Raw genomic sequence first — 17,642 nt, 5'->3', positions numbered from 1 at the left:
TTTTTAGTAGAGATGGGGTTTCAGTGTCTTAGGCAGGATGGTCTCGATCACCTGACCTCGTGATCCGCCCACCTCAGCCTCCCAAAGTGCTGGGATTACAGGCGTGAGCCACTGCGCCTGGCCTGCATCTTTAATTTTTTAATCAAAATACTAAATGGCTATTAGCTTGCACTAGAAAATGCTCTTGGGGATTAGTTTCACAAACAAGGATTTATACTCCTCCCACAAACATCTGAAAATTGTGAGAAATGCAATGTAATTTTCAGGAACCCAGTGCATAAGTCCCCCAAAAAGATGCTAACTGCAAAAAATACATACATAAACTAAATAACAAATAGCTAAAATATTATTATCAGAGATGTCAAAAATTATCAGAGATGAAAGGAACAGATGTAATCAGTATAGTAATCAGAATCATCTCATGAATTTATAGAAAACAATTTTAAAAATCAGATTTCTGGCTGGGCGCAGTGGCTTACACCTGTAATTCCAGCACTTTGGGAGGCCGAGCTGGGTGGATCACCTGGGGTCAGGAGTCTGAGACCAGCCTGGGCAACATGGTGAAACCCCATCTCTACCGAAAATACAAAACATGAGCTGAGTGTGGTGGTGTGCACCTGTAATCACAGCTACTCAGGAGGCTGAGGCAGGGGAATCGCTTGAACCCAGGAGGTGGAGGTTGCAGTGAGCTGAGACTGTGCTACTGCACTCCAGCCTGGGCAATAGAGTGAGACTTCATCTCAAAAACAAAAAATCAGATTTCTCAGGTTTGAACTCCCAGAAATTCTACTTTCTATAGATATTTAGTGGGGTCCACATATTTGCATTTCTGTATTTTTAGAAGCAGCCCAGGTAATTCTGATGCACATGGGCAGTGAACCAATCTTTGAAAAACACTATCCTACATTTCAGAAATGAGAGACTCTCACATAGCGCAGCTAAACAGGCACTGCCACTTAATGGCAGAGACAGACCTAGAACCTTAACCTCTGCTGCTACAAATTCTCAGAAAATCCTAAAATGAGAGATATACACACAAATACATATATATACACATATACATACACACAGCAATGAAAGGAAACTGAATTACAATAATTTGTCCTTTTTGCCATGACTTAGTGAAAGTTTTGGAGCTGAGCAATAGCAACTACCCACATGTTGCCATCAAAAGTAAAATTTTTTAATTTTAGTAAACTAAAATTAAATATTCAGGTCCTTGGTCTATCTAACCAAATTTCAAATGCTAAACAACCACATCTGACTAGTGGCCACATATTGGACAATGCAGATATAGAACACCTACACTGCAGAAAGATCTACTGGCTACTGCCATATTCCTTTTTTTTTTTTTTTTTTTTTTTGCAGATAAGAGTCTCACTCTGTCACCCAGGCTGGAGCGCAGTGGGGTGATCTCGGCTCACTGCAACCTCCACATCCTGGGTTCAAGCAATTCTCGTGCCTCAGCCTCTGGAGTAGCTGGGATTACAGACATGCACCACCATACCCTGGCTCATTTTTGTATTTTCAGTAGAGATGGGGTTTCACCATGTTGGGCCAGGCTGGTCTCAAACTCCCGACCTCAGGTGATCCACCCACCTTGGCCTCCCAAAATGCTGGGATTACAAGTGTGAGCCACGATGCCCAGCCTGGCTAGTGCTATATTCTAAAGCTTGCCTACTCAGACAGTTGCCAAGGCTGCTTTCCTTAGAACGCAATGAAGAAGAATGACAATGACAAAACCTACAGTAGTCAAGTGCCTGGCCTAGTTTGATAATAAAATAGTCATGCACAGCATAACGACGTTTTGGTCAACAACAGACCACATATACAACAGTGGTCTCATAAGATTATAATACAACTGAAAAATTCCTATTGCCTTAGTAAAGTCACAACTGTTGTAGCCATCATAATGTTAAAGCACAATTTTTATGAATTTAGTGTAGGCTAACTGTACAATGTTTATATAAAATCTACAGTAGTGTAAAGCAGGAGGTGAGCAGTGGGCAAGCGAGCAAGCGAAGTTTCATCCATATTTACAGCGGCTCCCCATTGCTCACATTATGGCCAGAGCTCTGCCTCCTGTCAGATCAGCAGTGCCATTAGAGTCTTATAGGAGGGTGAACCCTATTGTGAACTGCGCATGCGAGGGATCTAGGTTGCTGCTCCTTATGAGAATCTAATGCCTAATGATCTGAGGTGGAGCTGAGGCAGTGATGCTAGTGCTGTGAAGCAGCTGCAATTACAGATTAACATTAGCAGAGTGGTTTGACTGCACAGAGACCATAATAAATCAATTGCTTACAAACTCTTATCAAAACCCTACCAGTGAGTGGTAAGTGACAATTAAGCTGCATCTTGTGGTAGGCTTTATAGTAGAAAGAGGATTGATGTACATCAATTGTACAGCTGCATCTGGTGGCAGGCTTTAAGTCAGAATCCAACACTTATTTCAGTCCATGCATGGCCCACCCATTATTTTATTTACTACTTCCACCCACGCCTCTTTCCTGCACTGCGCATTTGTCTCGGTCACAGTTTCGGTAAGCCCACAAGCTAACCCTAGCCAAAATGAGTAAAAAACAAATGTGAGCAGAGAGCTTCTTTGAATAGGGGAAAAGACCCAATGATGAGACAGCAGAGGGTTCTAAGACTGCCAAAAAAAAGAAAGCTGCATTTAAAAGAAAATACCAAGGCTCCTACTTAAATAATAGGTTCATTGCAACAGGTGATTCATATTCTCCAAGCCAGCTTTGTATATGTGGCGACCAGCTATCCAAGAAAGCCATGAAACCTTCAAAACTACTTCATCACCTGGAGACCAAGCACCCTACATTAAAAGACAAGTCTTTTTCGAAAGAAAAAAAAAAACATGAACATGAAGAACAGAAGCAGTTATTGAAAGCCACCACTTCATCAATGTGTCTGCACTGAGAGCATCATTCTTAGTGGCTAACCACACTGATAAAGCTAAGAAGCCCTTTACTATTGGTGAAGAGTTGATCGTGTCTGCTGCTAAGGACGTTTGTCATGACCTTTACGGAGAGGCTGCAGTTCAAAAGGTGGCATGTGTTCCTCTTTTGGCTTGCACTGTAACTAGACAAATGGATGAAACAGCAGAGGATACAGAGGCACAATTGTTAGCATTAATGGGAACCGTGGTATGGAATCCAGGTTGACAAGTCTACCGACGTTAACAACAAGGTAACAATACTTGTTTTTGTGTTACATGTTTTCAGGAGAATATACATAAGGATATATTATGTGCACTTTTGTTGCCAACCAACACCACAGCTGCAGAACTATTCAAGTTTTTGAATCATTAAATATCAGGAAAACTGAATTGGTCATTTTATGTTGGTATATGCATGGACAGAGCAGCTGCCATGACTAGACGGCTTTCTGGTTTCACTGCTCGGGTCAAAGAGGTCACTTCCAAATGTTGAGTCTATGTACTGTGTCATCCACAGAGAAATGCTGGCTAGCTGAAAAATGTCACCTGAACAATATTTTGCAAGATGTGACTAAAATTATTAACATTAAAGTACATGCCCTTAACTCACATCTGTTTGCACAGCTCTGTGAGGAGATGGATGCAGAGCACACACATCTTCTCTTAGTGAGAGGGCTTTCTAAAGGTAGATCACTGGCCAGAGTTCTTTAGTTACAAGAGCCGCTCCAGAGATTTCAGAAAAGCAGTCACCACTAGCAGCATATTTCTGTGACACAGAATGGGTCGCAAAACTTAACTTGTGTGACACATTCAACCTGCTCAACAAACTCAATCTGTCACTTCGGGAGAGATGGACAACTGTGATCAAGTCGGCAGATAAAGTGGCTGCATTCAAAGCCAAACTGGAATTATGGGAGCGACAAGTGAACACTGAGATTTCTGACATGTTTCAAACATTAGCAGAGATTTTGAAAGAGACTGAGCCAGGGCCTTCTTTCTCCCAGCTGGTGCATGATCACCTATCTCAGCTTTCCAAAGAATTTAAGCATTACCTCCCAACTACAAAAGACCCCCAAACTGGGAAAGAATGGATCCGCAATCTATTTGTGAATAAACCAGGTGAACTGGCTTTGTCCATGCTAGAAGAGCAACTGCTTGAGATCACAAATGACGGTGGACTTAAAAGTGTGTCTGAGACAACTTCAAATTTCCACACATTCTGGATTCAAGTCAAGGCAGAATGTCCTGAGATTATCACAAAAGCACTGAAAAGCCTGCTTCCATTTCCAACTTCCTATCTTTGTGAAGCAGGTTTTCTGCAATGACAGCAACCAAAACCAGATTACGGAGTAGACTGAACATAAGCAACACACTTTGTGTGTCACTGTCTCCCCTCAGCCCCAGATGGGACCATCTAGTTGCAGGAAAACAAGCGCTGCTTCCCACTGATTCTACATTATGTTGAGTTCTATAATTATTTCATTATATACTACAATGTAAATATAATAAAAATAAAGTGCACAATAAACGTAACACGCTTGAATCATCCCAAAACCACTCCCCCTCCCCCTGGTATGTGGAAAAACTGTCTTCCACAAAACCGGTCCCTGGTGCCAAAAAGGTTGGGAACCACTGGCCTGTAACATATAGGTTAGGTGTTTTACATACATACTATCTCAACATCGTAATTACTGAGAAAGATATTTCCACTGTTTTACAGGTAGAATCTAAGGCTCAGAGAGGTCCTTACATCTAATAAATAATGAGATCCAAATTCAAATTAGTCTGTTGGAATCCAACTAAACTCTAAACTTCACATACAATAGATGAGAAGATAGATGCAAAGTTAAAAAAAAAAGTCACAGACCAGTATCAGTAGTATTAACGTTATCTTAAAAAAAAAAAAAAAGTAAATCAGAAGAGGGAGAGCCAACATTAAAAGTATAGGAAAAGGAAAGTCTCAAAACAACGGCAGCACATATAAGCATAATCCAGGAAGAAGACACCCCTACCCGAGGACCTGACCCATTTAAACACTGTGGGACACTGGCCTAACAGCATTAAATAAATGCATCATTAACTCTCTCTTTCTAATTATAGTATATAATCAGCCAGCCACCTTCTAGTAATTATGTATCTCCCTTCACAGCTTGGTGACAGGAAAAACGTATTTTAGCCTAGAATGTGAACATTAGGTACATTTCTCGTTGTAAATTAGTAATTTGCCACCCAGATGTTTACACATCACTCCCATGTGAGCTTAATATCATTCAATCAATCACTTAGTTATATACTATTGCCCAAGCCCCATCAATCCAGAGTTATGGAAAAGACCAAATTCTGATGAGAACCTGGGCCACACCGAATTCATCAGAGTAAAGACATTCTAAGAGGCTTCTTGGCAGCCAGTCAAATGGTGTTCCCAAGCAACACAGTGACCTCAAATGCACCTTCTACTTGAACTCCATCAGCATTTATTTATCCCTTCAGTGAAAGTCCTAATAGTTCTACCAAATTTCAAATCCACTCTTCTTCTTCAACCCTCTTCCTATCTCAGTGGAACCACAGAGCATCCACAGTGATAAAAAAATGGAATCTGAAGTAAGGCAGACCTAGGTTCATTATCTTAACTCCACCATTAACTAGCTGTTTGACTTTGGACAATTACTTAAATATGAGACTCTATTTTCTTATAAAATGGGCTAAACACCTATGTCAACAGGCTTGCTGTAAGGATCACATGAGATAATTCATTCAACAAATATGTGAGTTGCTAAATGTGACAAACACACTGTGCTAGATGATGGACACTGACAAGTATCTACTACTCTGTCTGACAAATAGTAGGCATTCAGTGAATGTTATGCTATTACTGTTGTATTTCATCAAATCTAGAACGCCACTAATAACAACATACACCATTATTTTATGTGCTTCTAAGAATGGAAAAATGTCTGCCAATTAAACTATGGCATAGCATTAATTATAAGACATACCCTGATTTCAGATGTTAAAATGTGAAAAAAAGCACATATTAAGATTGACTAAATAAGGTATTAATTCAAGCCTTCATTATCCTTGGCTATGCTGTTTGGTTTTCCTGTCTTTGGTCTTGCACTCTCCAAAGTATCCTCCAAGATCTAGATTACACACCTCACTTTGAACTAACCCCTCTCCCAATCTCTTCTTTAAAATCCTTAATGCTTCATACCAGGAAAATGTTTAAACTTCTTAGAATGGTATTACACACCCTTCAGTCTTTCATCCCTCCCAGCTCACCTTCCCAACTTCACTTTACCAGCTCTTCAACATATCTAACTAAACCAGATTGCATTAACTATGTTTGGATACTTCCACTCATCTTTGTCTCTGTTCTCTATTACTCTAACTCCTAGATTTCCCCAGGTGCCCTTTCCCCTCTTCACTATGTGTTAACATCATACTCAATCTCTAGTACCCATTTCAAACACCACCTCTGCAGATCCTTCCAAGATAAACGTCTTTACACTCTAGAGCAAAATCAATTGGTCATTCCTCTATAACATAATCACAGTACATACTGTGATCAGGAGACCACCCAAATTAAGAACTCCTCTAAGGCAGGAACTAAGTCTTACTTATTATATTACCTGACAGCATAATACCAAGTTAAGAATTCAGTGTCTGAAATATCTGTGTCATACCTGTGTCTGAATTCTGGTTCTAACACTCCCTAGCTACATGACCTTGGGCAATCTATTTCATCTCAGACTCAGTATCTTCTTATAATGGGGATAACAAAACCTACCTTAGAAGGTAAGGATTAAATGTAAAATGCCTGGCACACTAGAGCACTCAACAAACATGAGCTGTTGTTATTATCCTCATTATTGTTTTATTATTTTTTTAAAAAAAAAGAAAGGGGACAGTCATGTATACTTAGTAAACTGGTTTCATTCATATTCTTATCTTCTCTACCCATATATGCTCTGACTTTGGCTTGGCAATTTGGGTTACAGGTAAAGGATACACTCTTCATGTACAGGCAACACATGTAACCTGTGCTAACATTAAAATGTTACAGAGGAACGAGGCCAATTCATTTCTAAACCTTCCTGAGTCTTGCTTTCATTGTTACCTGACCCCTCAAGCCTCAGCATAATTCCTCGGTCCTATCTCCTCACTCAAGATAGGTTTCCACTTGTGACCATAACTAAATAGGGCAATGCCGAACTTTCTTGTTGTTGGGTAAATAATAACATCATTAATTTACCCAGTCTTTTAATTGGCATTTGCAAGAACTATTTCAGGTTGTTAATGGAATCTAATGGATTAGATACAGATAAATGTATTAATGCAGAGTATCTGAGTAATCATTAACAAGAACATTTAAATCCCTACTGACTCTTACAAAGAAACTTCATTCTTAAAATTTCAAAGCAATGTTTATACAGCAATGATAAGCCTTAACAAGATACAGCAGTAAGCAGAAGGCCAATATTCTTATATCAGGCTCTGCTATTAGCTAGTCATGAGACTCTGACCAGGTATCTTGGCATCTCTGCTCTCAATTTATTCATTTGTAAAACAGAGGGGTTGAGAAGGTCTCTTTCAACTCTAAAAAAGATTAAAAATTAAATTTTCACTAGAAAATTGAAAAGAACTAAAATCAGATACCCACTAAAAACTCAAGCAACTCACTTAAGCCATTCAGACATACTTAATAACACATGCAAATTTCACCTCAATTCTAAAAACAAATATACAGACACAGTCTATAACTGAGATGAACACAAGTTACAAGAGAACTAACTTACCTCACAGCCACATAATTGTTCTCACCTGGTTTTCTTACTCTGTACAAAAAGGTTAAGAGTGATTTATTAAGAAAAATATTAGCAAAAAATCAACAAAGCCATTTTCCATGAAAACCTAAACTGGACAAACCTGGAGGAACAAGCTTTGAGTCTCACTTTCCCAGTCAAAAATAATATTAGCCAAACATTATTTAGTATTGTTGAGCTCTGCAGAAGAAATAATTTTAATAGGAAATTTATTGCTGTTACTATGTGCCAGGTATTGTTCTAAACACTTTTCATATTTTTAACTCATTTAATCCTCACAACAATCCTGTAAGTACTATTATTATCCCTGTTTTACAGATGAGGAAACTGAAGCACAAAAAGGTTAACTGACTTGCCTGAAGTCACTCAACTAGTATGTTGGTGGAGCTGGAATATAAACTTAGGTAGACTGGCTTCAGAGTTTTTTTCTATGTGTTATTAATATACTAGCATATTATATAAACTAATGAGCAATAAAATGAATCAGGGTGATTGTGTTAACTCAGCTACAAACAAAACCATATAACCTGAATCACTTAACCTCTTTTCCCATTTGGGTAAAAAAGGAAGTTGAGCTAAATAAGCTTAAAAGTTCCTTACAAGTCTAACATTCCATGATTTATGATCCAGAAGCCAAACACCAAAACTGTAGCACAGCAAACAGCTGTCCACTTTTGTCCTCCTCTTTTTACCCTTATCACCTTATCTCCTTACCTTTTTCTTCTGATTTATCTTCGTAAGTTCCTTTATTTACCAGCTGGCTGTCCAGTAATAGTTACACTGATAACCTTGAGGGAAATATAATTTAACAGAGGTGAACACTATCCTACAGACCACACTCTACTATCTCCAAACTATGCAGACTAAGACCTGGGACTAAAAATAGACCCGCCATTACTTCACTGGGCTGTAGAAAGGTCAGCGGTGCCTAAGAACAGGTCAGACCAGGCCTAAATGTATGCATGTTTAAGTGGATGGATTTATTCATTTTTCATAAAACAGTACGCCATAGAAATTAAGAGCATGGGCTCTTACAATCTCCACAATTAGCTATCCACAATTACTATCAACATAATCAGTTACCTAATGGCTCCGAGATTCAGTCTCCACCATCTAGAAACGGAGCTAACAACCTACGCTATAAGAGGTGTTTTTAAAGAACTTACCACAGTGCCTGATACAGTAAGCGCTCAAAAAATAACAGCTGCTGTTATTGCCACTACTACCACCACTGCTGTTATTTACAATTTCCATATAAAAGCAACAGCTCCACAGTCTGATTTGATTTAATTTCAAATTCTGGTTCCATTTACTTACTAAGTATAGAGCCTTAAGCAAATTACTGATCTCTCTAAGCCTGGGTTTCCTCATCAGTAAAATGGAGATAATAAATCATCTATCTTACAAAACTACTGTGAACATTGAGATAACATATGTAAAACAGCTGACACCTGGTTCCTAACTGCTCAATAAATGTTAATTCCTTTCTCCTTAATGACAAGCTTACCACACTTCTGCTAATTCAATTTAAAGAAAGGAGAGTAGAATTAGGGATCACATGAGATCCAGGGAAGCCAACTTTCTTTTCTCTATTGTCCTTGCTGTAGGGCAGATACCAGACACTCCTCACCCAGGGAACTCCTTTATCCTCTTCCATGTTTGATAAGACTAGAGAACCTTTTTTCAGGCTATCTTCAAACTTCTAATACAGTATATGTATCGATGTACACTGGAATCCTCAATAACTGTTAAGAGTTTCAAGTGGTCCTGAAACCAAAAAGTTTGAGAGCCACTACTCTAAGGTATAAAAAAAGCCCACAAAGCACATGGATTACCCTATGAATTACGACTTTAACAAATTTAGCCTAGATAAGTAACTCACATAAAAATAACCTAAAAACTTCTCACTTTTCTCTATGATTAAATTTCAGTCCTTGAAAAAAATCACTTGTTCACTAGTTATTTACGAATAGTCAATGATAGAACTGGATTTTAGGATTTATATCTGGTTTCTGGTCCAAGGTCTTTCTAATACAGCAGGTCATCCTCAATTAATAAAAGATGACTATGTTTTCTTAATCAATATATTAAGCCTCTTGTTATAGAGATTATGAAAATTTTAAGTTATGTTTACAGTAGATTAATTATATTTTCCTTTGACTCCCTAGCAAATAAACAATTTTTAAAGGGTGTTTTTTTTTTTCAGACAGTGTCTCACTCTGTCACCCAGGCTGGAGTGCAGTGGTGCTATCTCAGCTCACTGCAACCTCCGCCTCCTGGGTTCAAGCAAGTCTTGTGCCTCAGCCTCCCAAGTAGCAGGCACACGCCACCACACCCAGCTAATTTTTGTATTTTTAGTAGAAATGGGGTTTCACCATGTTGGCCAGGCTGGTCTCGAACTCCTGATCTCAGGCGATCTGCCTGCCTTGGCCTCCCAAAGTACTGGGATTACAGGTGTGAGCCACCATGCCCAGCCTAATTTTTAAAACATTTTCTGATCAGTCCCTATACATACCACACTTGCTTGGTGATGGGAAGAAATAGGTGACTAAATATCAGTCTGAGTAAACAACTAAGACTTTAAAGGAATATAACTTAAGTTACAAAAGTAATCCAAATTTATACAGAAGTATAAAGTAGTACAAGATTTATTTGTATTACAAAAGTAATACAAATTTATACAAAAGTAATACAAATTTATATCCATGTTCCAAGTCCTCAATCTTCAGTCTTCCCTTTCTACACCACTTTTTAATTTTAAAAATACTATGTTGACTGAAATACAAAACCAAATACACACATACACACAAATTTGGGGTGTGTGTGTTTTGGTTTTTTTCTGTTATTTTTAAGGTACTGAAAGCTAGCATTTAATGACAAATCAGCCTATAGCAAAGGAAGACTTCTATAAATTTGTGGAATGAACGAATGATTTGTAAGGTATTTGTTCATGAGCTTTCTCTGCTGGCTTCTTTTAGCATTTACTAGATAAGGAAAGACCTGAAAAGGCAAATACACTGGGCAAGAACCCTGGTGAAGTCTGACACTCTCTCATTCCCAAAGGCCACCTCAATACCAGGCAACCCACAAACCAGCTGTGGTTAATCTGTACAAGTTGGGCAAAGTCTTCCAAACTTTTATTATGTCAAATCCCTATTTAAAAAAAGTTTTATTATGTATCTCCAATATATGCATATTTATTTATTAATTATACCCATCTGTATCTGTGTACAATGTAAAACAAAATTGTTTAAAATAGAAGTTTTAAAAAGATGACACAAGGATGAAATAATTTCTACCTTTCATTTATGAACAGTACAAAAATATTTTTGATCTAAGAAATTATCAATAACAATGCTTTGAGAGAACATAACTGAAAAGTTTCATTTTTTTAATCTTCATTAAAAAAACAAAAAAGTTTTTTAAATAAATAAAACCTTCATTTAACATTTTATGATACAGTGTTTCAAAGGTCCAGTTCAAAGTTCAGGATTCATTTGATTTTGAAACTTAATTAATGGCTATAAACTGAAAAAACAGACCTTACAAAGGCAGAATACTCATAATATATACACTTACAGTCAAGTTCATTGTGACTGACAGTAGATGTAAAACCTTACTTCAAAGAGTTAGCTTAGGCCAGGAGTGGTGGCTCATGCCTGTAATCCCAGCACTTTGGGAGGCTGAGGCAGGCGGATCACGTGAGAACAGTAGTTCGAGACCAGCCTGGCCAACATGGTGAAGCCCTGTCTCTACTAAAAATACAAAAATTAGCTGGATGTAGTTGCGCGCGCCTGTAATGCCAGCTACTTGGGAAGCTGAGGCACAAGAATGGCTTGAACCTGGGAGACGGAGGTTGTAGTGAGCTGAGATCAGGCCACTGCACTCCAGCCTGGGTGACAGAGCAAGACTCCGTCTCAGGAAAAAGAAAAAAGAATTAGCTTAATAATTTTTAAATTTTTGGCGAACTTCTTGTCAAGTCTACTAAAGTGTTATTGTTTTTATCTGTAATTTGGCTGCCAAAAAGCTAGTACTAGAAGGAGAAACCTCAGCTCTGTTGTCATTTTCTTGTTGTTCACTTGTGCTTGCATTATTGGTATTACTGTTATGGAATCTTTACAGGAGTCTTTTTAAGACATGTCTATTTCCTAGCGGTTGATTTGGCTAAAACTAGATAATAATTTATAGATTCATTTAATTATGCACCCATAACTGGATTAATGATTATCTGCCAAAGCGAACAAACAAGTGAAAAAGCCACTGGCAATCCTTCTGTTTTCTTCAGTATACCTGTGCATGACCTCCTTAGCAGGGGTACTGCATCAATCCATTTATTAAATACTAGTAAAATTGTATTTCTTCCTTTTCTTATGCATAAAAATAAGTAAAATTAACAGTTCTGTCTTCCCTTACTTTTCCTTTTTTTTTTTTTTTTTTTTTGAGATGAAGTCTTACTCTGTTGCCAGGCTGGAGTGCAGTGGCACAATCTCAGCTCACTGCAACCTCCGCCTCCCCGGTTCAATCGATTCTCCTGCCTCAGTCTCCCGCGTAGGTGGGACTACAGGCATGCACCACCACACTCAGCTAATTTTTGTATTTTTAGTAGAGATGGGGTTTCACCATGTTGGCCAGAATGGTCTCAATCTCTTGACCTCAAGTGATCCGCCTGCCTCGGCCTCCCAAAGTGCTGGGATTACAGGCGTGAGCCACCGTGTCCAGCCCCCTTACTTTTCTAATACTGTCTTCTCTTTACTCCATGGGAGTTTTGGGCACACTCCTTTGGGGCCTACAACTCAAATATACCTGAAATCCTTACCCAGCACAACTCAATCATTCTCTTAAATGCTTCCCAGATTAGGACTGAATTTGAAGCTAGGACTAAGTTTCCATGGTCACCCCAGGTCAAATAAGATTCTTAGGTTCTTATGATCTGGGCCTTCACCCAAAAGCTGATCCAAAACCAACCTTCAGGATAAACGGACAAGTATAATCTTTCCAGCATACTCACGCTGACACACTTAAAGATGATAAAGAATAGTTATAGCTTCCTGTCTTTACAACATTCATTCACTCACTTAAGAAACATTTGTAAATGCCAACCATCTCATTGACGCAATCATTTACAAGTGTTATCTTAAACACACTATACTATACTTTGATTTACAAAAGTGTCTGAAAGAAAAAGTGTGGTTTGTGCCCCATCGGGTGGCCAAACTGGATATTTCAAACAAGTTGCAGCAACTCAAGTTAAACCTACCTAATCAACATAATACCTTTGGGAAACTGAAGCCTGTAACACAAGTGTTCCCATGGGAGAGTTCTATAAATGAAAATCGTTAATAATGTTATGGTAATGTCTCCTTATACCTGAATATAATGGAAGTGTAGTTCATGCAGAACCTCTCCTTTCCAAAATCCTGCAATAAAAAATTAATTCATCGTCATCCCTTTTTAAGTTAAATAAGAGAGTTTCACTGGGTTAACATCTTATTCACAGATCAAAATATCAAAAATTTTTGAAAGGATATTATTAATTTTAAAGGATGCTATTAATACTCCTGTTAAGTTCTGTCCTCTTCATATACCAAACATAATAAAACCATTTAAAAACACAGAATTTTAGAGCTGGATGAGTCCTTAAATAATACGGGGGTTGTGAGCTTAGAAATCAAGTCCAATTCTCTAACATTAAAGAAACTCAGATGTTTCTTAGCTAAAAGAAGAAATGGTTTCATCAGGATCACACAGTGTGACCGGACTCTCAATGCTTACACATGCTCAAGAGACATATACACATATTCCTAAACAAGTGGCTTAACCCCTCTGGACCTTAGTTTCCTTGCCTGGAAAAACAAGGTAGATAATCTTTAAATTCCCTTTTAGCTCTAAAATCCTGTAATTTAGAAACCTTGTTATTTTATTACAAAACAAAGGATACACTGAAAAAAATCATTCCTGGGTCCTGAGAAACCAAAGAAACACAAGGCCCTAGGGAAAGTCAGCAGCCTAAGGCACCAAATATATTTGCTTCTTCTGCTAATATTCTGCAAAATATTAACATGGTCATATTAGTCTATTTGGTTGAAACCAGTCTCAGTTAATTTTGATTAATCAATTGCAGAGCTTTAAAATATATAGTCACTAATTCTAAATTTTAAAAAAGCTCTTACAAAGATTTACCGGTGTTCTATTTTACATGTCAAAATTTATACTCAAACAGATTACTGGAAACAGGAATAGTCTCGGCTTGTTTGTGTTTATTCTTTGCACAAACTACTTACAAATGGATTGAAGAGATTTTCTTTATATGGCTTCTCCATGTTGGTCTGTTATTTTATGCTTTATTATTCTGCCTATGAAGACTGAATCTATGAACACCACAACTTATTTTTAAATTAAAAAACATAATAATTTTCAGGATATTGATGGGTTATTATCATTAATAATTTTATCAGTTCAAGGAATAAAAGCCATTAAAAGTTAAATCAAAAACATGACCTATAATGGACCTTGAAAAGCTCTGGCCCTATATACTTACTTTATGGAAGAAGAGCGAGCCCGGGAAAGGCAAAAAAGATTGTCCCCAGGTCTCATGGCTAACACATACAAAAACTAGTATTTACTGTGCTACAATATATACATATTATATATAATTAAATATAATTACAGATGTAAAACAAAATTTTCAGATTCTAATTCTCTGCTTATTTCAAGTAATATTTAATATAGCAAAATGACACAAAAACCAAAGAAGCTGAACAGTTCACATTGATTCACGATACTAGAAAGCACCCTAGGCTAGAAACCAAGGGTAAAATACAAAAATTTCACCACCAGTGCTTGAAAAACAAATCCCAGCATCTGTTCTACTGATAGCATTTTAAGAGCATCATCTTCATATGAGAAACTACAATTTAATTCATTATGAAAAGGTCCTTTTCTCTAGAGAATTTTTATGGATGTCCTTTTTCCCCAAAGTTTTAAACTGCTAAAATTCCTGGACTCTAAAGACTCTTATTTACATCTCTCTATTACTTTTAAAGGAATAGCACCAACTCTTCAGAAACAACACACAAAACAAGATTCCAACCCTATAAAATATTGGTTGATTCCAACTTACAAAGAAAAGTGCGCCTCATTTAATTTTGTCTACCAAACAATGAGTTTATCTAGGACAGGAGCCATATAGTAGGAACTCTCCGCAGAATCAAATTTCAATTATCCACAATAAACGAATTTTTCAAAACATAATTTATAACTGCCCTGAGAAAGATAATGCAGACACAACATAATCTCAGGAATTTTGCCCCTCTGTGACCAACCTACAGTAAACATTTAGGAACAGTATCCAAGTGGACTATGTGAATGAGGAGTCCCAGAATCAATGTGGTTCTCCAGCCACAAAACTGACATTACAAATTAAGAGGGTTGCATTTTCAAACTAAATCGTATGCTTCTCCTTCCAGCCCCAGATATTGCAAATTAATACAATTCCATGAAATAGTTAAGTGTCGAAATACCTAAAATGAATCATGGCATACATCCAGCCACTATTACTTCTGCCCAAAGCATTCCATGCTACATAACAAATATAAGATGTGCTTCAGCATGCTCCTATCCTGTGCCTCTGTGAAGAACTGGCAGTGGTGCTGAAAATTACTACTAGAAAGATGAAAGACCAATACCCTTCTTTCAATAAAAACCATCACTTGGATTCTAGCCAAGGTTTTAAAACTAAATGTTATTAGAAACAATAAATCAACTCTGCAGGCTGAAATGTTAGTCCCTTATTTCACTCATTCTTACAAAACATGGCCACAAAATACTGTAAGAAATTGAGTGACAATAAAGCATTAATAATTATAGGCCTTTCATTTCTAGCAATAATGAAATACTCTAGGTTGCAAGTGAATTTATTTCACAATATTCAAGATTCCGTTTAACCTACCTGCATCTCTTTCCCTGTCTTCTTCAATTATTACAATGGCTATATGAATAAATACACTCACTGCTATTGCCCAAACCTCCTATCACTAAACTTATATAAAAATTAAATGGAGAACTAAAATAGTTTAATTCATAAAATCTAGCTAAGTTATGTGTGTTCATATTGATTTTATATTCTTTGTTCCTGCACACAAAACAGATGTGAATTCCTGGAGGTTACAGATAAGTCTGTCTTTCTCTATCCAGGAGCTGAATTGCCAGCTACTGAGAATAACCTATTGCAATGCTTAAAGCCTCTTAGGTATCTTGTCTTCTGAACATATAAATGGGTTCATTATCTTTATTTTTCCCTTTATTAATGTAAGGTTCCTTATTATCTATTAAATACCTTCCAGCAGTGTTAGCACAGAAATTGGGAGGGAATGGGGAGCATGATTTCTGTAATACACAGGTAAGGTATATTGTTTACAATATACTAATTTTCTCCCCAGCTAGCAAAAACTTAGCAGAAAATAAAAAAATGTTAATAATTCTCTTCTCTCCTTTCTCTTCCCTCCATTCCAAAACAAGAGGCAAAAACAAAGATGTTATTACTCTGTAGACTTCATGCAATCAGTAAAAAGAGTCTTATTATCAAAGCAGAATAGTTGATTACAACGTGTTTACAAAAACTATAACCACTACATATGTGATACACACTTAAGTCAAGTTTCAACCCCGTTACAAAGCCTTTGTCAACAGTGGGCAAGTGGGAAAAAGCCGAAGGGCTCTTTGGAATGAAGGAAATCACTGGAGGGGCTTCTCTTGGAAGACAAGGATTCCTTGGTGAGAGGTGTAGAGAGAGAAACAAGACCTAACCTTGGCGAGGGGGCGCTCGCCCAGGGTGGGGACGAGAGGTCAGGGCGAGTGGGGAGAAGGGGATTAGCGCGGAACAGCCGCGACCCGGGGCTGCCCTCGCACCGTGACTCCCCCACCTGCAGCTCACCCTCCCACCGTTCCCCGGCCCCGGCCCCGGCCCGGGCAGCGCCTTTCCTCCCGGCCCTCCGCCTGCATATCCGTTACCCCGGCGGCAGCGGGGCTGCGGGGGAGGGGAAGGACAGCGGAGCCGGGAGGCGGCCGGCCGCGGCGGGGATGCCGCAGTGGCTCCCCGCGGCAGCGGGTCAAAGTCTGCCCGGGCACAGGGAGCCAGCTGAAGCGGAAGGCGGCGGTGGACGTCAGGACTGGCGAGATGGTGGCCCCTCCGAGTCCTCCCACACCCCAGCCGTGCCGGTACCTCATACTGGATGTATTGCTTCCTCCACTCGGGAGTGATGTGCGCGGAGAGGTGCTCGGCGAACTTCATCCTGCCGTTTCCCCCTCACTCCCACTCGGGTCCAGCAGCTACAGGCGGCGGCGGCAACAGCGACTCCGACTCCTCCCCACATGGGCCCCGGCGCGGCGCGGCGCTGCGCTTCTCTCCTCCTCCGCCGCCGCCGAGGTCTCTTCAGAGCAGCCCGCCCGCCATCTTCCTCCTCCTCTCCATAGCCCCGCCCCTCCCCGCCCTCTGGACGTCATCGCCATGGTAACCGCCTACACCGCCCTGACGAAGGGGGTGCTGTAAGGGGTGGGGCTTGGGTACGCTTCTTAAGACTCCGCCCCTTGTGGGCCGTACGTGCTGGAGGCACCTCCCTGGATCTCTTCAGTCTGGCTCCTGTTGGCCTACAGCTGCTTTCTACCGCCTGTCTGGGAAGCAGCAGTGTTGTTACTGCAGTTAATATTAATACTGTAGCAACAATAATCCACACAAGACGTTTATATTTACAAAGAACTGTGCAAATATTTTTCCATTTTGATATTTATGCTTCATAAAACCTTTAAGAAATGGATCAGCACTAATCCAAACTAAGAAGCTAAAACAGTTCAGGACTAAATGTATTTAA

The 17,642-nt window shown here is 39.0% G+C and overlaps 1 protein-coding gene across 4 annotated transcripts in view, besides 4 other annotated features; it reads right to left on the bottom strand.

Moving 5' to 3' along the window:
* XPR1 (xenotropic and polytropic retrovirus receptor 1) overlaps window positions 1-17,245 on the bottom strand; it is a 258,258-nt gene extending 241,013 nt beyond the window's left edge. For all 4 annotated transcript variants that reach the window (NR_137330.2, NM_004736.4, NM_001135669.2 and 1 more), the window contains exon 1: window positions 16,997-17,245. Coding sequence is in view for 3 of the 4 variants with exons in the window: in NM_004736.4 (NP_004727.2) it covers window positions 16,997-17,065 (69 nt within the window). In the remaining variant the exon portion in view is untranslated. The remainder of the gene's footprint in view (window positions 1-16,996) is intronic.
* Window positions 16,380-16,880: an enhancer, noted in NCBI's record as "H3K27ac hESC enhancer chr1:180601523-180602023 (GRCh37/hg19 assembly coordinates)". NCBI's record gives its function as "activates a minimal SCP1, AML or CMV promoter by ChIP-STARR-seq in naive H9 embryonic stem cells {active_cell/tissue: H9 hESC(naive)}" and the evidence as "EXISTENCE:reporter gene assay evidence [ECO:0000049][PMID:30033119]".
* Window positions 16,380-16,885: a biological region, named in NCBI's record as "H3K27ac hESC enhancer GRCh37_chr1:180601523-180602023".
* Window positions 16,506-16,885: a silencer, noted in NCBI's record as "silent region_1595". NCBI's record gives its function as "represses an Ori minimal core promoter by ATAC-STARR-seq in GM12878 lymphoblastoid cells {active_cell/tissue: GM12878}" and the evidence as "EXISTENCE:reporter gene assay evidence [ECO:0000049][PMID:35858748]".
* Window positions 16,881-17,381: an enhancer, noted in NCBI's record as "H3K27ac hESC enhancer chr1:180601022-180601522 (GRCh37/hg19 assembly coordinates)". NCBI's record gives its function as "activates a minimal SCP1, AML or CMV promoter by ChIP-STARR-seq in naive H9 embryonic stem cells {active_cell/tissue: H9 hESC(naive)}" and the evidence as "EXISTENCE:reporter gene assay evidence [ECO:0000049][PMID:30033119]".

The sequence above is a fragment of the Homo sapiens genome, chromosome 1 (genome assembly GCF_000001405.40).
Source record: "Homo sapiens chromosome 1, GRCh38.p14 Primary Assembly".
Lineage (NCBI taxonomy): Eukaryota > Metazoa > Chordata > Mammalia > Primates > Hominidae > Homo > Homo sapiens.
This window is presented reverse-complemented; position numbering and strand designations above follow the sequence as displayed.